Source organism: Homo sapiens, chromosome 13 (assembly GCF_000001405.40).
Source record: "Homo sapiens chromosome 13, GRCh38.p14 Primary Assembly".
Lineage (NCBI taxonomy): Eukaryota > Metazoa > Chordata > Mammalia > Primates > Hominidae > Homo > Homo sapiens.
Genome location: NC_000013.11, coordinates 78590014 through 78613585, shown reverse-complemented (window position 1 = coordinate 78613585; position 23572 = coordinate 78590014). Strand labels below are relative to the sequence as shown.

The window sequence follows — 23572 nt, the reverse complement described above, 5'->3', positions numbered from 1 at the left end:
TTTAAAAATCTCCCTTGAAAGGCCTGTGAGCAAAAAATGGAATTTACAGTTGTAGAAGGTTTTTAAAAATCCATAGATTATTGCATAACACAGGAAAATTATATTAAAGTCACATTTCATTGTTTCTAAATAAAGTTACTTGAACACAGTTACACTCATTTGTTTACATATTACCTACAACATCTAAAATATTTACTATCTGGTCTTTTACAAAAAAGTTTGCCGACCCTTGTTATAATAGACTGAGGATTCAATGAAACCATAAAAGTGACAATTCACATTTGTAATTTGAAGAATCATGTCCTCCACTTATAGAAGTAATAGCCAGAGGCCGGCGCTGTGGCTCATGCCTATAATCCAAGCACTTTGGGAGGCGGAGGCGGGCCGATCACCTGAGGTCGGAAGTTCGAGACCAGCCTGACCAACACGGAGAAACCCCCATCTACTAAAAATACAAAATTAGCCAGGCATGGTGGCACATGACTGTAATCCTAGTTACTTGGGAGGCTGAGACAGGAGAATCGCTTGAACCCAGGAGGCGGAGGTTGCGGTGAGCCGAGATAATGCCACTGCGCTCCAGTCTGGGCAACAGGAGCAAAACTCTGTCTCAAAAAAAAAAAAAAAAAAAAAAAAAAGCCAGAAAGAGCTAATTTAAAGCAGAATTTTGTTTTATGTTACATATTTTCCAATCATTTTTCTGATATGTTAAAGCTAATGGATACATTCAGAGCTATTGGCACTTTAAATGTCTTTGATAATATGACTACACGTTAGAAACTCAAATATAGAAATTAAAATTTTTCTGCCACAGGTTAAATTTAGGGGTGGTATGATCTAAATCTGTGTTCCTCCAAATTCACATGTTGTAACACCCAAGGTAATAGTACTAAGAGGTGGGGCCTTTGGTAGGTGATTAGGTCATGAGGGCTTTGCTTTCTCTGAATGGGATTAGTGCCCTTATAAAAAAGGCCTGGGTGCCAGGCACAGTGACTCAACGCCTGAAATCCCAGCATTTTGGGATGCCGTGGCAGGCGGATCACGAGGTCAGGAGATCGAGACCGTCCTGGCTAACACAGTGAAATGCCATCTCTACTAAAAATACAAAAAATTAGCTGGGCGTGGTGGCGGACGCCTGTAATCTCAGCTACTTGGGAGGCTGAGGCAGGAGAATGGCTCCAACCCAGGAGGCGGAGGTTGCAGTGAGCCGAGATCGCACCACTGCACTCCAGCCTGGGTGACAGAGCAAGGTTGCAAAAAAAAAAAAAAAAAAAAATGCCTGGGGTAGTTTCCTTGCTTCTTCCGCCATGTGAGGAGGACACAGCTAGAAGGTAGCATCTTTGAAGCAGATACTGAGACCTCACCAGAATCTGCTGGTGCCTTGATCTTGGACCTCCCAGAACAATGAGAAATAAAATTGTATTGTTTAAAAATTAGTCCAAAACATTTCATCATGGCAGTACAGATGGATGAAGACAAGGGGTAAGCCTCATTGTACTTCTATCTGTAATCAAGGATGTGTCTTTTTAGTCCAAATACACACTGACACTGTGACATGGATATCTGGAGTGTGTAACCTGATTTACTAATGACTAACCTAGGTGAAAGCATCTATGTTGGACTAAGGTATTTTCCCACTGCTTATATTCAGAAACATCCCTCCATTCTCCCTAAAACAGTATTCCATGTATTAAATGTGTGCCATTTATTTAAAGGGTCTAATCTGTGTAGGATTTTATTTTAATCACACATTCTCATTTGTACTCTTTACCACTTTACCATAATGTGATGTCATGGTAAATATGGTGGTTTCATAGATTTTTAAATGTATCTATTATGTACACACACTCCAGGCAAAAACAAACAAAAAACAACCCTATCTTATACTAAAACTAAGTATCTTGCTAAGTTAACCTCTATTTCATCTAATTCCTTATTTCATCTAATCCCTTCTTAAAACTTTGTGAACCAAGTACTGTCGTCCCCAGTTTACAGAAAAACAAATCGAGAAAGAGTAATAACACAGCTGGAATAGATATGAACCATATCTTGGAGCTGGGTCTGTGGCTCTAGAGCTTCTGCTCTTCTCCCTTGTGTAATAAAGAATTCATATTTATAGACTAAAGGACAAAGGGCTTTGAAACTTTCCAAGAATTATTTTTAAAGTATTTTGGAAGTATTAACATGTTTATTTTTTATTTTTACATTTGAGACAGGGTCTCGCTCTTAAGCTGGAGTGTAGTGGTGCGAACACAGCTCATTTCAGCCTTGACCTCTTGGGCTTAGCATGTTTCTTTTACAGTAGCATTTAGTTCCTGAGTCTGACTACTAAACAGAAGCTCAACGGTGGGAGTTGTGTGTGTGCCACTTAATAGATTCACACTGACTCTGACATTTAGATTAAGTTAACCTTCCTGTCTTGGTTAATTTCACTAAGGCTATGATAGAAAAAGATGTACTCATGATAAGGAAGCAGACAGTTCATGTTTTTAGAAAAATATCTTTTGACTGCTTAAAATGCTTTGGCTATGGGAATGTGACAGGATGCTAGCAGTTTTGTTTGTTTTTTGGTCATGACTTAGTATTCATCTTTTATTTTTAAAATCATTCCATCCAAAAATGCCAAGTCTTTTTCCTGTTTTATGGAGTTAGCTGACACACAAAAAAAGAACATGGTACAGTAGTTTACAGTCCTTTAATTTCAAGTCGGCTTTGTTTCCCAATCATCTCTTGGCCATCTACATTGGTTTGAAAAGACTACTGAAAAAGACAACTTGGTCTTGAGTCTATGATGTTTCAGGAACTTCTTGTTTCTACTTGAATGGTTTTCAATGATTCAAAGTGAAATACATACACTAGATTTCTCCCCCTTTTGTGCCTTTGGATGGTATTTGTAGAGAGAATCAAACTGAGATTAACTGTTTATGGGATGTACTTTATTAGATTAGAAGGGTTTCCCAGAGCCTCATAAGAAGTTCTTTCATTCCCATTTGTGGGAGTCCTACAACACAGCTTTGGCCTATCACGATGTAACCTGATCCTTTTAATAATACTTGGCAGAGAAAACCTTTTAAGCAATGATCTGAGTGCACAGTGAACATTTATTGCCTAATTCTCGGAACCCCAGTCAGCTAGGAAGCATCTGTGAAGATGCAGATTTCTTTACAGAACCCACCTGGAGTGCAAGTTAGGGCGATCTTCAGTTTTATATGACTGAGACAGTCTAGAATGCCTTGAGTTGCAGCTCCACTTCAGAAACAAGGCAGATTCTTAGGCCTGCTATGTCTTTTTCTTGTCATTATCCTAGATTCTAAGTGTTGTGTCTTAATAAGGAGCAGACCTTCTCTAATAAATGTTAGCTTATTGGTGTGTAGAAGTGTGGGCCTTATGTGACGTTTGTAATTTGGGGATATAAAGATCCTTTTCCCAAGAGATATGGCTTGGCCCTTTACTGAGACTTACTGGGAGGTGGGAGGATGCAATTCTAATGCATTTTGATACTTACATTATTTGTGAGTAGAAAAATGCCCCTGTTGGGGATAGCGTGGAGCAGTGAGAAAGTCTGGCGTCTTCACAGACCTGTTACTCGTACTGGGTCTTGAAGGGTGAATAAGAGTTCTGCGCAGAAGAGGACACCTCTCCTGTGTGTCGGGCTGTGCTGAAGGATACGCCTATTTAGCCTGTGTCTCAGAAGAGGTGCTGAAGAAACCATTCCTTAACATCAGGGCTCCTATTTGAAAAAAGTTTTCCCGGATTGCTCCAGCCTGGGTTTACACGTTTGGCTTTGCTCCGCCTCCTCTCGGAGTCCCCAGAGGCTCTTGGGCTTGCCCCAACCTCCTGAGCCGGCGGCCTGATGGCGAGACAGTGGCTCCCTGGGCGCTGGAACGTTTAGGCGGTGGCGAGCTGGCCCATCATCTGTCCATTAAGACGAGACTTGACCTTTTGAGGGCAGGAAGGGGCGACCTCGCCTAACCCACCGGGTCATCTTTGTGTTCGGGTTGGGGAGATGGGGTCCGGCCCGCCAGCCTCGGCTCTGAGCCCTCTTCTGTCCCTGGGATTACAGCGAACTCGGCCTTCTCGGATTCCCGCCGCCGGTGCCCGCTCTTCCCTTCCCCTCTAGCCCCCACCGGACCCCCACTCCCCAGTCTCGGGAAGACAGACGCGCCCTAGCCCTTCCAGCCCGATTTTCCCACTTTCTCGGGGGCGCTCCGGGCTGGTCCCGCCCAAGCTCCACCCGAACGGCCCGCCCTGCGGTTTCCTTTCATTTTATTATTACTCGTGAAACCTGGCGATTAAGACGCGAAACCAACAAAGAGTTTTCTTTCCACCTTAACCTTGCACACAATCCTTTAACAAATTAATTAATCCTAATGAATTAACACTTCATTTATTTAAACGCGCTACAGTTCATGAATTAAATTTTCATGCAGTGATTAAAGGCTGTTAAAATATGCATGATTTCGTTAAAATTTTATAATAAATCAGGGCAATGTGTTACATGACAAGGCAACTATTTCCCAGTCCCTCGCAAGGGGCTTTGATTTGTGCGGGCGGCGGGAAGGAGGGGCGGCTGGCGGCGGCGCCGGCGAGCGTTGGAGCCGGGTGACAGGACCCAGCTCCGCACTCTCGGGTTTGGACTCGCGTCCTTGCGGTTTTCTCCACAGCTTCCAGACCCTTTTGGGGATCTTGCTCCTGGAGGCAGAGCGGAGCCTGCGGAGAGCGACAGGCACCCGCTTCCAGGTCCTCGGAGCCGCGCTTGTGGGGGCTGGGGGTCCCCTGCTGCCCATTGACTACCTCCACCCCGAGCGTCCGTGCGTTCTGGTGGCAGCAGACGGCAGGCGGCTATCCGCGGAGCAGGAAGGCGACAGAACTTCCTATGTCCTTGCGTGGGGTCATGGGCAGGCGTGTCTGTTGTGGAGTTTCGTTTGTTTGTTGTTGTTCTAACCCAGGACCTGGAAGCCCCTTCTCTGATCAGCGCCTTCTTCCAGCTTTGAATGCGGCAGGGCCCAGGCGGGGCGGGGACGTCTCTGCTCCTCCTGGGACCTAAATCACAGGAGTCCTTGGCCACGTTCAGCCATAAGACATTATTCACTTGGGCTGCGAAACTCCTGGCAACTATTAGGCAGGGGAGGCCCAGCCCCTGTTGGGACAGAGACGTAGTAGTCATGTGTCACCCGTAGGGCTTTCACAAGGTAGGTGGGTTTCATGTCCACGGAGAGATCAGGGTGGAGATATGTACATAGGTCTATATCTATAGATATAACGCCAAGAGTGACAATAGTCAGCAGTGAACTTTCCTGGGACGCATCATCTGGGTCTCTAGGTCATCAACGACATCTCAAGGTGGTCTGGTTAACGTCCAGGAAAATGTCCCCAAGGGAAGTTGCATTTAAATTAAACGACCAGACGAAAGAAAACTATATTTCCCACCAGTTTCCTTGAGAACCTCCTCTGCCGGTCCCAGCTGGAGCCCAGTCTGAATGCCTTAGAAGCAGAGATGACGACGGGCCCCAGTACCGCCAACCACTCCGGGCCTTAGGGACCAGAGGAGGAGAGAGGCCGAGGGAGCTCCGCAGTGCCAAGCAGAAAGGGAGGACGACGGTCTCCGGGAAATCTCCGAGCCTAAGCGACCCGGAACGTGGCCCGGAGAACTCCAACCTCAGCTCTGGGCTGGGTCCCGCGGGCCTCGGAGGGCAGGCCACTGCCCGGGATGGCCCCCAGTGAGGCCAGCGAGGAGCCCAGTAGCTATCGCCTGGGAGGTAGCGGACCAAGATGCGCGACACTGGGATCAAAGCAGCTCAGGCATGACCCTGGGAAGGCGGCCCAGAGGGGAAGCGAAAGTTCCACCGTCCTTTCTCCATTCCTTCCTCCATTCCACCCTTCAGTGTCAGAGCCCAGGGCGCCGGGACAGCCCAAGGGCAGCCCCTGTTCTGAGACCCGAAGATCTTACCCATATCCTGCTCCCCTGCTGTCTGCCCTTTCACATGTGCTTAAAACAACCTAAGTGGCCTCTAAAGCCAGCCGACCCTGGGCCCTGGGGGCTTCTCCTGCATGCAGGGCGCTGGCTGCGTGGTGAAATGTGCCTCCTTTCAAACTAAACAATTGCCTACGCACAATGTAGCTCCCCGAGTCTGCGAGAAACACAGCTCCGGCTTCGGCCACCAGAACCCAAGGTGGCCGGGCCTGCAAGTGGGGCCCGGTTTCCAGAAGGAGCGAGGGGCCCGGCCCCCCTCCCCTGTATACCCACTACCGCCACGCACTTATGTCGAAGTCCCTCAGACCCGATCCTGAGTCCCTAAACCCCAACAGACAACTCGGGTTCAACCCCTCGGAGGTGAGAAGGTGGGGCGAGTAGTGGCTGCGGAGTCAAATACTAACTTTCTCCGCACCCGGTCGGAAGGAGGATGTCAGTGCCCAGGTGGGCAGCAGCTATCAGGCGCGCTCTCCAAAAGTGGAGGATGGGAAGTTGGCGGTTCAGGTCAAAGGTGAGGAGCGTTCACCCCAGACAGTGCGGATCCTGGCACAAAACCTCTCCCGCCAGTCCTCACGCCAACCAACGAAGGTCTGCTCCCTTAGGTCGGGAAAAGGGCGCTGCCAAAGGAAACGGGAAGTGAGGCCTGCCAAAGGAGGAGGAGAAAATTAATTAATGAGGGAAAGAAATGTGTCTCTGATCCACATGATAGACTCCCTGTCCCTGGGGGCGGAAATTCCTTGGAAATCAATAGTTGTGCATTCATTATCCTTCTCTTGATAAAATGCAAAGCTATGAGATGAGGAGGAGGAGGAGATCTGTGTTGGTCATTAAATAAGAAGGAAAAAAAATTGCCCAGGAATCTATGCCAAGGCTCAGACCCCATGTGGGTATCATTAGCACAGGCAGGGGCCAACGAGTTACAGCAGTTGCCAAACCAGGAAAACAAAACAGTGACATATGGGTGAGCTGAGCCCAAGCCCACCACCTTTTCCTTTTACGCATCAGGAGGAAAGTAGGGAGAGGCTTGATATGGTCCAGGGAACTGCCTGCAGATGTGCCAGCATGCCCTATTCTTTAGCCTGGGCTGAGAACCAACGAGGATGAGGCATGATAACTGTCCAAGCATCACCCGCTCCATATTTCTATACACATCCCTCTCATCACACCTGTTATACCTGTGTCATAGATGCCTTTTATCCGTGGCTTCCCCACGCACATACACTGTCACCTCCTGCAGGGCAGGTACTCATATTGTATACCTCATTTTATCTCCAGTGTCTTGTACTGGGCCAGACTACCGCTCAGCAAGAATTTGAGGAAGGAAGATAAGGTAGCAAGTTAATGAGGGCGGAGTGAAATAATTGGCTCCTGAAAAAGAACAGGCTGGAATAAAAATTTACAGCTCTGCCTGGGGAAAACACACCCCTCCTTTTTAAGGAGAATGTAGACCCCCCCATCCCCCCACCCAGGGATCTTCCTGCAATCTCCAACCAGCCCTGGATTGTTGAACAGCCCCTAGGCCACCACCCCTCCCCCAGGCTACCCGAAACTGGCCTCTCTTCCTTCCTACACACGTGTTTTTTGGTGGGGTACTTTTCCTGTGACAAACTCTGCACTAAGTGCTATAGTGAAGATGGATGTATCCTAGATGGGCTTCCTATCCATGGTGGGAGGGGGAGGGAGGATTGTACCCATAGCCCTCATGTTTCTGGTCCCATCAAAACACCCAATACCCCAAGCAAAGATCTGGCCTCACCCCAAGGTGGGGTATTCCTGTTGTCGAAAGAGAGGTGAACAGGGAAGGAAATCTTGGTGGGACTAACTCCTAACTTCAGGCTAAGGTGGCATCTCTCCGCTGGGTTTAATGGAAGCCTCCCAGGGTTGGAGGGTGAACCGAGGTGCCTTTTGGGTACTCAGGAGCTCACCTGGCTCTCAGAGGCCCCACCCGGCCGCAAACCTGTACTGTTTACCTTTCTGTTGCTCCTGTACCCTTCAGGGTCCCTAAAGACCAGCGCTTCCTTGAGAGGGGAGGGGCAGGTTCCAGGCCCTCACCCTCTGTGGGGGCCTTTTCTTTCCCGTCAAGAGAGAGCGCAGGGAACGGCCACCAGGGGTGTCAGGAAGGACTAGGTTAAGCCCGGACTCCCGGTGTGATGACTACCGTAGGACTCACTCTTTCCCTCTAGCGACGTCCTGCTCATCGTCCACTCCCCGTTGAGATAAAGTTGCATTTAGCGCTCCCAGGGGACTGCGTAATGGATGGAACCAGCTCCTTCTCTCACCAGCAAGTGAACATCCTTCTCACTTCCCTCTGGAGCTAGAAGGAAGGGAGGGGGTGGGGGGGAACATGAAAAGAAAGAAAGAAAAAGCCATGGTGACGCCTGTGGGCTCTTCTTGGAATCTGAGTAGGTGAGTGGGTATGCTAAACACACATGCATTTGTGCAGAGGAAAGATAAAATCCACGGGAACGCAAATTTAGGTTTATAGAAATGAGATCTGCTCTTTGGTGGAAATACAGACTTCCTTGGTGTGGGAGAGAACAGAAAGATTATCTGATTTCTGCTTTCCATAAGCAGCCCCTTGCTGCTCTCCAGCTCTCTTACCGCAGATGTGATAACATCTGGGCTGTTAGGTTATTATCACCGCGAGCAAGTGCTCCTTCCCTGGGGACTTTGGCACCTGAACTGTGGCTCCCCTGGGAGGCTCTTGATCTGCTACCACATAAGGGCCATATAACAGGTTGGCTAATTGATTTATTCTTTTTAGGTCTTAATTTCACAATAATTTTTTAAAAATTTAAAAACTGGACCAGAGCTTGTCCCCGTTCTTTCAAATTGGCTTGATTTAATATTTTTGAATCAAGCTTTCCTGTAAGTTAGTTTGATCTGTCTCCTATTGAAAAAAATATATATAAGCAGGCAGAGATATGAGGCAAAAAGCCAAAAAGATGGAAGGGAAAAGAAAGTTCTCTTTTCAACATCTTATTCCCTTTTCTCTGAAGCAGTTTTCCTGGAGTTCCCAGCATAAAGTGTGTGTGTGTGTGTGTGTGTGTGTGTGTGTGTGTGTACGCTGAGGGGAGGAAGGATCCCAACTACACCCTGTTAACTGTTTTTTCCTTTTGATTACTAGAAGCCTTAGATCACCCGGAGCTCGTTTGAAACGTGGGTTTGTACACGGTTGAAGGAGACAAACAATAAGAGAAATGCACAATTTCATTTCAACAGCTTTTCCCGAGTAGAAAGCACACGCTCCTTGTGGCTCCTAAGTGGCTGTCACTGGCGGTGCCTGACACAGTTATATTCACAACAACAACAAAAAAGTATGCGGAGGAAATTAAATTATATGGAAATCAATAGCGTCTGACTGCTTCAAACAAATGTCTGTCACCGCGATTATTCTCCAGGAACCTATTTATAAACCTTTAAAGAAACAGGTTCTTGCAGCAAAAGACAGCACCTTCTGCATTTCTGTGTTGTTATTTATACTGTATACAGAGGAATGCGCGGGCATAATTTAACGTAGAAATGTCCAGCTGTATACATTATACAACAGCTTGTTAGGCATCCCGAAGAGGAGGAATGCCTAAGTAATGCTCATATATTCAAGGCTTGCTATCAGGGAGAAGAAACATACACACATACACACACACGCACGCACACACACACACACACACACACATAGAGGGGCGTGCGCGCATCTCGTCTTTTTTATTCTAAAAGGTGCCCACCCTTAGACAATAGCTGGACCTTCTGATCTTTCCAGACCACGGTGGGAAAGGTGAGGCGGGCAGTGCGCATGCCCGGGTAGCTACAGGTGCATCACCTGCGCTGTCCTTGCTGGTGGTCACTATAAGAGCGGCTCCCACGCGCTGGTCGCGGCCGGACGAGCGCGCGCGCGCGCAGACGCACGGGGCCGCCGAGAAGGAGAGCGCGCGTCAGACAGACGGAGACAGCTGATGCCTGTCAGCGCGGTGGGGCCGCGAGCTCTCGCGAGAGCTCCCCGGGACGGCCGCGAGAAGTGGGGCTCAGGTGTTAGAGGAGTGCATCCCGTCGGCGCGCGGGGCTAGAGCTGTCGGAGAAGCGGGACCGCGAGGCCGGCGCGCGGCGCTCTGCGCGGTCAGAGGGAGCGCCTGGCAGCAGCAGGAGCAGCAGCAGCAGCCCGCGGCGGGGCCGCCGCCAGCCGCCGCGACCGCCGCGGCTGCAGCCTCCGAAGGGAGGCCGGGTGAGCCGGCGTACGCACTTTCCCGCGGACTTTCGGAGTGTTTGTGGATATACATGCCAAGCCGCCACGATGATGTCCATGAACAGCAAGCAGCCTCACTTTGCCATGCATCCCACCCTCCCTGAGCACAAGTACCCGTCGCTGCACTCCAGCTCCGAGGCCATCCGGCGGGCCTGCCTGCCCACGCCGCCGGTAAGCGCCCCACGCCCGCGGCCCCGGCCCGCGCGCCCGCCCCTCCCCGTCTCCGAAACGCTGCATGTCGGGGGCTGGTGTGTGCAGGTCCCGGTGCGGGGAACTGCGGGCAGGGGGTGTAGAGCAGTCCCGCAGCGAGGCACGTTTTGTCCGGCGGCCCTTAATGTCGTGTTCCTGTCTGCCTCTGCCTCCGCGTCAGGCGCCTGCGATCGGAGTAGGGAGCGCTGGGGCCAGGACTCTCGACTTCCCTCTACTTTCTCTGTTAATTTCACGCCTCAGAAAGGCAGTCTCTGTGCGTGCTCGGGTGTGTGACACGGGTCCCCAGCTGCGAGTTACATTTCCATTTCTTCTTTTCCCTCTTTTTCGTCTCCCACGCCCGTTTCCGGAATGTGTTCTTGTGTCCCCCTTTCTCCCTACTTCTGTCCCCCTCTCCACGCTCCCATCCCTTCTCGTCTGCCCCCTCCCTGGTCGTCAATGTGCCCCCTCTCCGTCTTTCCCGCTCTCCACTGCCCCCAAACCCGTTGTTATTTTGGTTGCTTTGTGTTTGCCCTTCGCATGCTGTGCTTTCCGGCCTGTGTGTGTGTTTCTTCTGTTGTTTTGTTTTGCTCTTTTGGTTTTGTGGTTTTTTTGGTTTGGTTTGTGTCGCCTGCAGCTGCAGAGCAACCTCTTCGCCAGCCTGGACGAGACGCTGCTGGCGCGGGCCGAGGCGCTGGCGGCCGTGGACATCGCCGTGTCCCAGGGCAAGAGCCATCCTTTCAAGCCGGACGCCACGTACCACACGATGAACAGCGTGCCGTGCACGTCCACTTCCACGGTGCCTCTGGCGCACCACCACCACCACCACCACCACCACCAGGCGCTCGAACCCGGCGATCTGCTGGACCACATCTCCTCGCCGTCGCTCGCGCTCATGGCCGGCGCGGGCGGCGCGGGCGCGGCGGCCGGCGGCGGCGGCGCCCACGACGGCCCGGGGGGCGGTGGCGGCCCGGGCGGCGGCGGCGGCCCGGGCGGCGGCCCCGGGGGAGGCGGCGGTGGCGGCCCGGGGGGCGGCGGCGGCGGCCCGGGCGGCGGGCTCCTGGGCGGCTCCGCGCACCCTCACCCGCATATGCACAGCCTGGGCCACCTGTCGCACCCCGCGGCGGCGGCCGCCATGAACATGCCGTCCGGGCTGCCGCACCCCGGGCTGGTGGCGGCGGCGGCGCACCACGGCGCGGCAGCGGCAGCGGCGGCGGCGGCGGCCGGGCAGGTGGCAGCGGCATCGGCGGCGGCGGCCGTGGTGGGCGCAGCGGGCCTGGCGTCCATCTGCGACTCGGACACGGACCCGCGCGAGCTCGAGGCGTTCGCGGAGCGCTTCAAGCAGCGGCGCATCAAGCTGGGCGTGACGCAGGCCGACGTGGGCTCGGCGCTGGCCAACCTCAAGATCCCGGGCGTGGGCTCACTCAGCCAGAGCACCATCTGCAGGTTCGAGTCGCTCACGCTCTCGCACAACAACATGATCGCGCTCAAGCCCATCCTGCAGGCGTGGCTCGAGGAGGCCGAGGGCGCCCAGCGCGAGAAAATGAACAAGCCTGAGCTCTTCAACGGCGGCGAGAAGAAGCGCAAGCGGACTTCCATCGCCGCGCCCGAGAAGCGCTCCCTCGAGGCCTACTTCGCCGTGCAGCCCCGGCCCTCGTCCGAGAAGATCGCCGCCATCGCCGAGAAACTGGACCTCAAAAAGAACGTGGTGCGGGTGTGGTTTTGCAACCAGAGACAGAAGCAGAAGCGGATGAAATTCTCTGCCACTTACTGAGGGGGCTGGGAGGTGTCGGGCGGGACAGAATGGGGAGCTGAGGAGGCATTTTTGGGGGGCTTTCCTCTGCTTGCCTCCCCTCGGATTTGGAGTGTCCGTTATCCTGCCTGCATTTGGGGAGTCCCTTCTCGCTCTCTTTCCTCCACCCATTCTCTGATTTTCCTGCCTTTGCTGTCCCCTAGCCTTGAGGACTGGGGTGCTGGGTGTGGGGATTGGAGTATAGGGTAGGGGAGAAGGGGGGGAGCATTCGGGGGAGTGGGGAGTGGGGGGAAGGAAAGCGGAGACCCGAGCAGGGGTTTTAAGGAGCAGGATGGTTCTGGGGTTTGGGTGGGGGGAGACGCGGGAAGGGTAGGAAAATGGACTGTTTCTGACCAGAGACACTTACCTAAATATCCTGGGGACCAAGGAACTATGTACAAAAACAAACCTACCAACCACCAAAAACTAGACAAATAAAGACAAACTAAAACAAAACAGAACAAAAGCAAAGGAAAATGCTTTAGAAATTTTAACTCCGGGGAGCCATAATCTGCAACTTCATTTTCCCCCATAGAAGAGAAAAAAGAGCACCACCATTATTACCACCTCCCCAACCCTACACGCACGAACTGAGTCGAAAAACGAAAACCAAACGAGCGAGAAGTTGAAGTTCTGGGTATCAAAGCTAGTTGTTCTGTCTGCGTGTTTAATTTTTCCCTCTCTCACCTCCACCCCATCCATATCCTCTTTATTTCCTCCGTTCCAATGAGAGGCCTATGGCTGCTCTCCAATCCCGGGAAGTGAGTGGGAGCACAGCTGAAAAGAGAGGGTCAGGGGGAGGCTGGCTGCTTGCTTAGGTGGAATCCAAGTTTTCCCGTGGCCCTGCCTATACTCTGGTGGCCTGGTCCTGTTGGGGTGGGGGTCTTTGGAGAGAAGGGCATAGTCTTTGAGCTACTAAAAAGCAGAATTCCGGAGCTTCGAGATATCTTATTCTAGGAAAATGAAACAATTTTAACAACAGTTTTTTTTCCTCTTATGTCGAAGATCTAGTTTTAGACAATTTCAAAATAAGCTTTTCCCACTCATAGAACTTTAACTTGCCCTTTCAGTTTTATCTTTTTTTTAGAGAGAGGTTTAAACTACTGATTTTTCCTGTTGATTCAAATAGACTAATGGGGTGAAAGTTATTAGGAGAGATACTCTCTCCTGTTTTCTCCACTGAACGAGACTCATCTTGCTCTTCTAGGTCCCGTTTCTTCCTCTCTTGGAGGACATGAAATTATAGAAATGTTGAGAAGTTCCTGCTTTCTTTTGCGGTAGGACTTGGCTGTGAGAAAATCACCTAAATCCCAGAAAAGAGGAAGACAGATTTAAAGTGCCCCCACCCCCATTTGTTTCAAAGAGGTCTGCATGTTGGGCGAAAACAGAACAACTGTGTTTCCTTTTACTTGTTCTTATTATTCAAGAGTCATTTATTACAGGGGATAAATGTTGGGTAGCAAGAACTTTAATTTGCACTACCAGTCTCCCAAATAGAAAATCATGTATAGTATTTCATAGTAATAATCAGGTACCTTACAAGCTGCTGGTGGATTTTAAAAAATTAAGATAGTTGAAGGTGGTTAGGTAAAATGCCTGCTTTGTGTACAAGATACTCTTTGGATCTCTCGTAGAGATGGTTTGTTACCATCCTTTAATCATAACTAAAACATTGAAAACAGAACAAATGAGAAAAGAAAAAAAACCTGCCGATTAACAAGACTGAAATCATGCATGATCTGAAAGGTGTGGAAAGAAACACAATTAGGTCTCACTCTGGTTAGGCATTATTTATTTAATTATGTTGTATATCATTGTTTGCAGGGCAAACATTCTATGCATTTGAAACTGAGCACTAAACTGGGCTAGCTTTCTGGTAGACCGTTTTGTGGCTAGTGCGATTTCACAGTCTACTGCCTGTTTCCACTGAAAACATTTTTGTCATATTCTTGTATTCAAAGAAAAAGGAAAAAAGATTATTGTAAATATTTTATTTAATGCACACATTCACACAGTGGTAACAGACTGCCAGTGTTCATCCTGAAATGTCTCACGGATTGATCTACCTGTCCATGTATGTCTGCTGAGCTTTCTCCTTGGTTATGTTTTTTCTCTTTTACCTTTCTCCTCCCTTACTTCTATCAGAACCAATTCTATGCGCCAAAATACAACAGGGGGATGTGTCCCAGTACACTTACAAATAAAACATAACTGAAAGAAGAGCAGTTTTATGATTTGGGTGCGTTTTTGTGTTTATACTGGGCCAGGTCCTGGTAGAACCTTTCAACAAACAACCAAACAAAAAGAAAACACAAAGAAATGGGGGGAGGGTAGGGTGTTGAAGGGGGACAAAAAGGGGAGAGATTGAGAATGATGTATTTTTTTGCTGAATCAGAATTCACTTTCAGATAACTCATGAAAAGTGGTGCTCTAAATAAAATGAATTCTATATTAGTTGCCTGTGTTTATAAAAGTTATTATTTTTTAACTGCAGAAACTCTTAAACCACAGCACTTGATCCAGAGTGGTGAAAACCAATAAATAACCAGGCACCCAAAAAACATTTAAATTTAGGGTCAGGGACAGAGGAATTTGGAGGTTTAGATGTGATATTCTACCCTAAAAACACCTAGTAACTGAATGGCTTTTCTTTGGAGGGTAATACATTTTAAAACATTTAGTGTGCCACCTACTGCTCCACAGTGACTAGAGAGCCTCTATTTCTTGGTGACTTGGGACTAGATCAGATGCCAAATGTACAAAGTTTCTTAAGAGTTGAGATTATATCATCTGAAGTCATCTTATTTTAGCCAAATCTTTTTAATTTCACCGGCAAATCTGTGAAGGAAAACACTTGATGTTCAAAAAGAATAGTACATTTTAAAAGCTGCGATTTTAAACAGTTGTTAATGTTAAAAAAAAAAAGCACTAGAGGTATTTTTAAACATAGAACTCTTCCATAAAAAGTTGATTTGTTTTTGCTGTTATTGACTTGAAACATCATCAGTTTTAAATAAAATGCATTTGTAAAAAAACCGTTATTTTATAGAAAAGTATGACTGGATTTCATTGTTGGAAAAACAGGACAGAACAAATGAAAAGATTTACAAAGGGTTTTTTTTAAAGTCTGCCTCAAGCAGAAATGTTGCAGGCAAACACATGTGTATTATATAATAATGATCAATGTAGGTATTAAGAATTTAAGAATTTGCTTTAAATAAAACCTTTACCACATAAAAATAAGAGTATTATGTTAATAAAACATCATGAAAATGAATTTCCTATTTTATGTAGTAGGAAACTGTGCAAAACAAAAAAAAATGCTTTGCTTTCTGGTAAGCGAATCTATATATGGCTTGAAGGAGTAGTAAGACTATTCTAAGACGCCTTTAACTGTCAATCCATGAAAAAAAAACAAAAAGGGACCTCCTGAAGAGGCCAAACTATCATTGAAGTGGGTGTCAATGAGTGATAGTTTGGCCTTTCAAAGTTTTCTAGTTCTGAAGAGAAGTTCACTCTAAGCGGATTCCTCCACCAGTTTTGGGGTGAATATGATAAAATGTGTGTCTCGGATTCTTTTAAAGAATAATCTCAAAATAAGTTTGAGAGAGTGGGAAAATTGGGCTCCGTTTGCATTTCAGCTTCTCAGGAAATCCAGGCGGCGGCGGGGGTGGAATAGGAAAAGCAAAAGACAAATAAGCATTAAAGCATCTGCCACATTTATGCCATCCATTTGTCTTAAATTTCCTCTTTTCCCCAGTTCTAGCTCCAGGTCGTGTTCCTTCTGTAGGTCTAAAAAAATTATGTCCTCAAGACCCATCAACTAACTTCTGAATAATTTTTGTTTAATGCGTGTTCTGAAATTGCTCTCAACTTCGATTACAGTTTCATAAATAAACTGTAGGCACCCACTGCCGTGATTGTATCGATTTTTGTTTTCTTGTGATACTGAGACTACTTCGGTCCAGTTCCTCCTACACGTGGCAGCGCACGTGAGAGAACAGGGCGCCCCAAGCCCGCAGGACTCACTCAGCGATCCCTGCCCTCTGCCTCTGCCCCGCCGCCCCGGCCTCTCCTGATAGCACCTGGCACCTGCGTGAAGTATCCCTACTCATCTTTCAAGTTGATAGGCTTTCGCAGTTTTTCGTCCGTGAAGTTGGAACTGGGGCTTCTGATCCTGGCTAAAACTAGCCTTTCCCACCCCATTCGAACGGCCTTGGTGGCCAGCGGGATGATAAAGGTGATGACAATTAATACTGGTACAGTTCTGCCATCGGTGTTATTGCCATCTCAGTCTTAGCGCCACGATGATAGCCACGCAGTCCTTTCGAGCTGTTTCAAAAAAGACCGCAAGCTTAATTGATTTTTTAAAATAGCAGCCGAATTCTAATTCTCGCGAGGTCCTCTTTTCCACTTGTGAGATAAGCCTTGTCGCAAACATTACGTTATTTAATGTTTGATCAAACCTTCCTGCCACCGCGGCTTCTGGCGCGGGGCTGGCTCACGGGGCATCGGGTGAGCTGAGCGGCCAGAGCCAGCCCGGCGCGCGTGGGGAAGGCGCGCGGCCGCCCCGCTCGGGTTGGCTTACTCTTTGAATAATTTATGGTCGGAGAGTTCTGGAAATAAAATGAATTATAACAAGGAGCTAATTAAAAACTTTCGTAATTGTTGTCAAGTCAGCTTTACGGGAGGACGGGCAGCCCCCCGATTCCCTCCCCGAAATCCGGTGGATCTGCAGGGCGGGGCGCGGATCCGGAGGCTGCAAACTTCAGCAGCCCAGCGCTGTTCCGACTCCGGGAGTTATTCTGGAGGCCTCCTCGTGGGGCAGCTCCCTCTCCAGCTGCACTCCGCAGCTCGCAGGTCTCCAGGGCATAACTTTCAGACTTCGGGGCGGGTGGGTCGGCGTGTGCAGTTTCAAACCATCGGCAGAGCTGATTGGGTTGAATTTGAAGCCAGGAGGGGACCCGCCCTCCCCTCACTCACTCAGGGTTCTCGTTCACTCACCCACCCAACCCAGGCATCCCAGGGCCTTCAAGGGCACCAGCCGCGGTTCTCCGGGTGGCGGCGAAGGGACCGCCGCTCATCCTGCCTGCATCCCTCCGCCGCCTGCCTGGAGAAGCAGCAGCCCACAGGCTTCCAGCTGCCCGAGGTCGCAGCTCCGCTCGGACTGCAGGACAGCTACCGGCCTGAGGGCCCTGGCGTGGATTCGACTGTGCCGGGGAGAACCCGAGGTCAACGGCCTTAGGCCGGGGCACCCGGCGCGCGTGCGCAGAGTGGCCAGCGGGTGCGCACCGCGGGGAGCCGGGAAGGAAGAGGCGCGCTCTGAGCGCTCAGAGCCCGCACATGCGTATTGGCGCGCGCCTGGTCCCCTCGGAGAAGTGGGCCGAAGTTCCGCGGCTCAAAATTAGGCGCTCCCGGAGGTCACCTCCAACTCTTACGTGCCCTTGAGGACGTTCTGAGAGAAAAGGGATGGACCAATATCTCAAAGCGGTTAAAAAAACCCTCTCCCCAGTTGCATAAGTCAACAGTCTCAAGCACCACAAAACTTTCACAACTGCCGTACACGTTTTAAAAAGAACTGGAAGGCATACGAGGTTGGTTTTTGTTTTGTTGCTAAGATGCATATTACCAAAACCCTGCTACAGATTTGAATTTATCCGGCAGGGATTTATACCCGGGGCGAAATGCAGCCTGGCCGCTAGGCTTTCGTCCTGGGGAATTCAAGTGGAATCCTGAATCGCAAAGCTGAAATTGAAAATCTCGGTTCGGTGAGAAGCCGACATAGCCCTAGTGTTGAGACCAGCATCCTGCTCCGGCGAACCAAGGGCTGGAGAGAAGAAGCGCCCGTGTCCCAGTCCCCTCCCCATTGGCGAAAGACAGCTGCTTTCCGATTGAGGAAAAAAAAAAGCGTGGAAGGAAAGTTGTCAAAAGGAGTGGTGGAGGAAGAGACTCCTCGCATTGATCAGGTAAAAGGAATTACAAACAAAAGTTTGTTTGATAACTCTTACGCCTGGCCTCAGTGCAGTATAATATATACAAACTTTTGTAGACATAGATTAGAATAAAACAAAGTGTTGTCAATTTCCAGCCGTGGAAATTCACTTAAACCAGTTTCTCCTTCTCCCCGCCCCCACCAAATGTTGACAATAAACATTTTAATGAAGGCAGAGACCTGGTTGTCTCCAGACAGTGTCAGAATACTTTAAGCAGGCCATTAGCACGGCCTCTTCCACTTCAAACATCGCGGTACACTCTAAATATATATATATAACTACGTGTGAGACAAATAATACAATCGTACGGATATCTTAAGTGGTCTGCAGTAGTTCTGATACCCCCTGTCCTTACTAACAGAAAACTAACTCATTGCAGATTACTCGCGCTTAAAAAATGTTAAATACAGTTAATGCAATATTAATCGCCCTTTGGTGATATAAAATGCAATATTTTCAGGCAGCTATTGAGCTTTTCTAGAAGAAGAGCTGATGAAAAGAGTCACAGCTGAATAGTGGAGAGAAAAAGCCCGGTATTTATTGCTTTTGTTTGGCTTTTGGCTACAGAGACAGGAACCTTCTAATGGGGTAAGGACATTTATTTTATCTGCAATCTATTGCTGCGAGAGCAGGGGCGGCAGATGGGGCTGGTACGATATTCACAGTGTAATTTAGAGCAAATCCTAATAACTAATAGTGATTTATGTTAATTTTGATCACTTATGTGACTTCACCATAGCGTTGTGTTGAAAGAAAGAGAGAGAAAAAGAAGCTGAATGTGACAAGGAGCTCTGAGGCTGACATTGGGGCTCAACTGTCCTGCACTTTGCACAATCGTAAAATGTGTTGTATGAGTTAGCAATGGAAATGCAGGCATTTAAAAAAGCAGGTAGGATCCATTTGACTCTGGGCAGAGGTATTTCCCGAGGGCTTGCGTTTCTTCTGAAAATTTATCTTAATGTGACGGACTGTGACGCCTTTGAGCGACAGACGCTTTCATCCCAGTTTTAAATAAAACAGATTTGTTTCAATTGTTTCATTTGCTTATATTAAACTAAGGGATTGTGTGTGTGTGTGTGTGTGTGTGTTGACTGTGGGGAGAGGGAGTCCATTGTATTCGACGCGGGAGTGCGCGCCGGGGTCTTCTTTCCAAAGTGTAATCTGAACCGGAGGCTTGAAATCAGCCTTAGAGCCAAGAAGCGGGCTCTCTCGCGCACCACTGCCACGCCTTATGCAAAAGTTTTAATACTGGCTGCTTAAGCAAGTTGCCGGTTCCTAATCTTCACCTGATATTTGTTTGCCCAGAATCAACTTTGGAAAGCTTTCCGGTCCCTACCTCCATCTTTCCCTTCTCCCAAGGGATTCCAGGGCTTTTAAACTTAAAAGTGCCTCCTTTCTCCTCACTCCCCTGGTATTGTGGCACCGGTTCAGAACCCCAGGGGCTGCCAACGGGACGTGGTTCTGCACAGGAACAGGGAGATTTTCGGCTTCCACGCAGTGCACTCAGAGGGTTGGAACGGTTTTGAAAGGGAGGGTGCGCCTTGCTCGTGGCAATTTGCTTTTCCAGTTACCTTTTGCACGTTTTAACGCCTTGGGGCTATAGTTTGAAAGTAAAACAGCATCAAAGCACCTCCTTATTAGTCCTGTATTTGAGAAATCCGAAGATGAAACTACCTAAAAGGTTTAATAGGGCGGAACAGCATTTATTTGCCAAGCAAACAGCTAGAGTACAGTTCAAAAGGGGTACAGTGGTTTATCAGCAGGAGGCTGGAAGGAGAAGAACATGGGCAAAGCGAATTTCAAGCTTCAGTTACGAGGTTAAAGTGAATTAAATAACCTTAAAGTGTGATATATGCTTTGATTTTGAATATCATTTCCCTCGTCCCAAATTTATATACGTATATATACAAATAATACATATACAAATACACACGTGAGCGAGCGCGCGCACACACACACACACAAACACACACCCCTACCCCATCCTAGAGTTTTTTTTCCCACCTTTCAGAGTTGTCAAGACTTTTTGTTTGTAAACTTTCAGATTTTGCGGAATAAGATTGATTACCTCTCGATGGATTTGACCTGTAAATGCATTTAAAGCACGATCACATTCTTTAACGTTAAATTTTCATTACTTTCTTCCTGTTTTTCTTGTTTTGAGGCTACGACAGATGTAAAAATGCACCTAATTTCTTCTACTAGAGAAAAAATCAAACTACATGATTCAGAGCAGTGTCTTTCTAAATATGATGCTGCGTTTTGTTTTTGCTTTTTAAATCTCCTCTATCAGTAACTGAACTGTTACTGCAATGCTAGTATTCTGGGTATAAAGAAGACTTTAAGCAAAATAAATCTTTAAACAAAATAAATCCAGGCAGCTGACATTGCCTGTTTACTGATAATACTCAGGAGCTGGTGTATGTTTGTGAGCTTGAAGCTGTGCCTCCACGTGCATATCCATATACAAACAGATGTAAGCGCATTTTTTACTGTTGCTGTTGAATGTAACTGAGTCTTATTGCTAAACTTTATTCTGGTTCTGTCCCAGTGTTTCAGCACCAGAAGCAACTCCCTTAAAATTGAAGAGTGGTGCATTATTGAAACTCTCTATCAAACAGCTCTGGGGTTCAGCCTTTCTGAAAATGCTGGCTCTCGATGAGGTCTGACTGTCTGACTGCACATAAGCCCCTAATATGTTAATGGCCGTAGGGGATGCCTAAGGTACTATCTCAAGCTGCTTCGCACACCATATGTCAGGCCGTTAGCCACATGGATCTATTAATCAAAAAGAGCTGGAGAGGAAAGAGAGGGTCTTCAGAAGGGGGGAGAATGAGAGAGATGGGGGAGGAGGAGGGGAAAAGAAAAAGCATTTAAAACTCACATGTCTTCATTTTTTAAATAAAAAATGAATAAAAATATCTAAAGAAGGCTCCATCAATAAAATTTCTTTGCTGTCGAGTTAAAGACTGTTCATAAATGTCTACTAAGTAATTAGCATAGCATTTGGTTCTACTGAAATAGATGGATATTTTACCTGAAAGGTCTTATTTGGGTTTGCTTTATTGCAAAACTTCTATAGGCAAGACTCTGATGGCACAAAAGTTATTTTTGTTATGTACATTGTTTGGTAAATGTGCTTTATTAAAAGTAGTGGGAGGAGAATACGGAAATTGTATGTTTAGGGGATGTAAGAAGGTCATGGAGGGAGGTGCCTGGGGGATTTGTAATGAATATATAATTATTAATATATATTTGCATGGACAGTAGAGTTTTCACTTTTTTTAGTTCTTCTGAGAGTAAATGTAATGTGTTAAGATTTTTGTTTCTTCCTTTAGGCTGGCTTTTTGATAAATGAAACTGCAAAATATACAGGATAGAAAATAGTACTTAATTTTTTTAGAAGGAGAAGAAATGAGAAAACATTAAAAGTTCCATCTTTTTCATTTCTTTGTTGTTTAGTAATATCTCTTGCCTTTGAGTGTTTAAAATTGTTTTCAGTTAAATAACTAGTTTAGAAAGTTTGCACAATATTAGATGTAATTATATACTCAGCATGGAGAGGGCATGAATGAGTAAGTATACTAAGTGTGTAAGAAAAATATTTGAATTCTTTCTTGAAATAATGACCATATTTGTCATGTGTCTTAAACTAATTCTTTTTAGAGAAATCAAGTGGAAGTACAGATTTTAAAATATCAGACCTATATCAGAAACAGAGCAATGAAAGGAAAACATATAGGTTCTTGGATTTAAAAGTTACATTCTTTTCATGTGCAATGCTACCTGAGGATAGAGAAAATATAAAATAAAAAGTCAATTCAAGCATATTTACTTATTGTTATAATTGGCAGTAAGTGATGATGGGCCACAAGAATACTTTTTAAGTTTAAAAATCTATAATTATTGATAGCATTTAAGAAAGAATACCCTTGAAAATGACTTTTTAATATTGTCATAATTAGTAGGCTTACACTGCAGTAGTTAATTTGTAAGATAATAGAATTATTGAAAAGTTTATTGACCTTAGATTTAAAAAATACATATGTAAATGTTGACTACTTATATATATTGAGAACACAGATTATTCACTCACCCCATACGCCCTGTGTCATTAACAAAGACTGATAGTGCTCTATTGTATTGGATATGTAAAAGAGACAGGCAGCAGAATGTTTTTATGATTCAAAAATACATTAAAGAAGATAATTGTGTTAGAAAGTGCAAGATTACTTGAAAAAAGATAACTGTGAAATTGTACTCAATAAGAAACAAAAATTATATAGTGCGATCTATTACAATATTTACAGTATAAAAGTGGAGTACTTTGTACTATGTATTAGATGGGAGGTATTAAATATTCTTTATTTTCACAAGGGAACCTGTCTGTCTTTATATAGAAGTAAGTGCTCAGTTACAGGGACAGGTTAATATTGAGAGGTGTTTTTAATTAAAAACACCACTGCTTTTGGCTAGTAAATTATCTGTGACTCTTTTAGTAAAAAAAAAAAAAAAAAAAAAAGATTTTAAAAATAGAAAATTGTGTTGTAGAGAACTGTAGTCAATCTGTAAATATGACAGATTCTAAAAGTCAATCTGTAAATATGACAGATTCTAAAGCACTATATTTCATCCAGGAGATGATGAATACATGAAGAAAGAATCATCCTGAATTTCAACAGTAGCAGGTAGGGAGAAACACTTATTATCTTTAAATTTTGGTGCATGCCATTAGCCTTCATTTCTTTCCCTGTAGTTAAAAGGTAGCCCATATATCTGTCGCTTTGGGTTTCCAAAGACTCATAACTTAATTCCTTCAGGCTATTCATCAGCACAGTAATTAAACTAGCAAATGGATGTAAATAAAGTGAAATTGGTTTCATGACAGATGAGGCGAAGAGGCCTCTGACATGAAACAAGGCAGGACAATAATGATTTCAGCAGCATCAGGCCATGGAAGGAACCCCAGCTGGATTTATTAGGTGCTGCAAGTGATTTGCTAGAAGCGGGCAAGACATGAGCACTCTTTAATTTGACAGGAATTTTGCATCCTAAAGAGCATATTGAAATATAAATTCAGAAACAAGTTCAGGCAAACTGTAAACAGATGTATTGTTAGACTGAAGATACTACTCAGTATTTTAAAAGGAAGAAGAAAAGAGAACGACATCCCCCTCCCTAATAGAAGAGCTTCATTTTCACAATTTATTATTTAATTGTGGGTAGTGGCAAAATAATTATGAAACATTTCGTTCTACTTAGTGAATTCTGTTACTATTAGATGGTTAGTAATTTTGGATGTCCAGGTTTATTTATCAGGAGAGCAACCAAAGCAATAGATGATTTAGAACCCAGCACAAGTAAAACATTTGTACAAATTAGCAGTACAT

General features: G+C 46.5%; 1 protein-coding gene and 2 long non-coding RNA genes across 4 annotated transcripts in view, besides 5 other annotated features; 1 reads left to right on the top strand and 2 right to left on the bottom strand.

The window, feature by feature from the left end:
- OBI1-AS1 (OBI1 antisense RNA 1) overlaps positions 1 to 23572 on the bottom strand; it is a 562471-nt gene that overhangs the window by 3740 nt on the left and 535159 nt on the right. The window contains exons 4-5 of the long non-coding RNA NR_047001.1: positions 8142 to 8285; positions 6376 to 6614 (exon numbers count right to left, since the gene is read on the bottom strand). This is a non-coding gene — a long non-coding RNA (OBI1 antisense RNA 1). The remainder of the gene's footprint in view (positions 1 to 6375; positions 6615 to 8141; positions 8286 to 23572) is intronic.
- Positions 5245 to 6104: an enhancer, noted in NCBI's record as "NANOG-H3K4me1 hESC enhancer chr13:79181617-79182476 (GRCh37/hg19 assembly coordinates)". NCBI's record gives its function as "activates a minimal SCP1, AML or CMV promoter by ChIP-STARR-seq in naive H9 embryonic stem cells {active_cell/tissue: H9 hESC(naive)}" and the evidence as "EXISTENCE:reporter gene assay evidence [ECO:0000049][PMID:30033119]".
- Positions 6105 to 6966: an enhancer, noted in NCBI's record as "NANOG-H3K4me1 hESC enhancer chr13:79180755-79181616 (GRCh37/hg19 assembly coordinates)". NCBI's record gives its function as "activates a minimal SCP1, AML or CMV promoter by ChIP-STARR-seq in naive H9 embryonic stem cells {active_cell/tissue: H9 hESC(naive)}" and the evidence as "EXISTENCE:reporter gene assay evidence [ECO:0000049][PMID:30033119]".
- POU4F1 (POU class 4 homeobox 1) lies at positions 10034 to 15224 on the top strand. 2 transcript variants are annotated; one of them, NM_006237.4, is made up of 2 exons: positions 10034 to 10382; positions 11035 to 15224. In NM_006237.4, exons 1-2 carry the CDS (start codon positions 10260 to 10262, stop codon positions 12169 to 12171), a joined length of 1260 nt encoding a protein of 419 aa, NP_006228.3. In that variant the 5' UTR covers positions 10034 to 10259; the 3' UTR covers positions 12172 to 15224. The 2 variants fall into 2 exon arrangements, 1 of the variants encoding a protein (NP_006228.3); XR_007063683.1 differs by lacking the exon at positions 10034 to 10382 and having other exon boundaries at positions 10432 to 12826; positions 13397 to 14414.
- Positions 10084 to 10243: a silencer, noted in NCBI's record as "silent region_5424". NCBI's record gives its function as "represses an Ori minimal core promoter by ATAC-STARR-seq in GM12878 lymphoblastoid cells {active_cell/tissue: GM12878}" and the evidence as "EXISTENCE:reporter gene assay evidence [ECO:0000049][PMID:35858748]".
- On the bottom strand, positions 13967 to 17464 carry LOC780529 (uncharacterized). The gene has a single exon (NR_158457.1). It is a non-coding gene; the product is annotated as an uncharacterized LOC780529 (long non-coding RNA).
- Positions 17069 to 17797: an enhancer, noted in NCBI's record as "H3K4me1 hESC enhancer chr13:79169924-79170652 (GRCh37/hg19 assembly coordinates)". NCBI's record gives its function as "activates a minimal SCP1, AML or CMV promoter by ChIP-STARR-seq in primed H9 embryonic stem cells {active_cell/tissue: H9 hESC(primed)}" and the evidence as "EXISTENCE:reporter gene assay evidence [ECO:0000049][PMID:30033119]".
- Positions 17198 to 17497: a silencer, noted in NCBI's record as "silent region_5423". NCBI's record gives its function as "represses an Ori minimal core promoter by ATAC-STARR-seq in GM12878 lymphoblastoid cells {active_cell/tissue: GM12878}" and the evidence as "EXISTENCE:reporter gene assay evidence [ECO:0000049][PMID:35858748]".

Bases quoted from the DNA above. Each gene is read 5' to 3' on its own strand.
- POU4F1 (NM_006237.4), top strand. From the start codon at position 10,260: ATGATGTCCATGAACAGCAAGCAGCCTCACTTTGCCATGCATCCCACC. The intron at 10,383-11,034 runs GTAAGCGCCCCA...TGTCGCCTGCAG, and splicing joins CCTGCCTGCCCACGCCGCCG to CTGCAGAGCAACCTCTTCGC.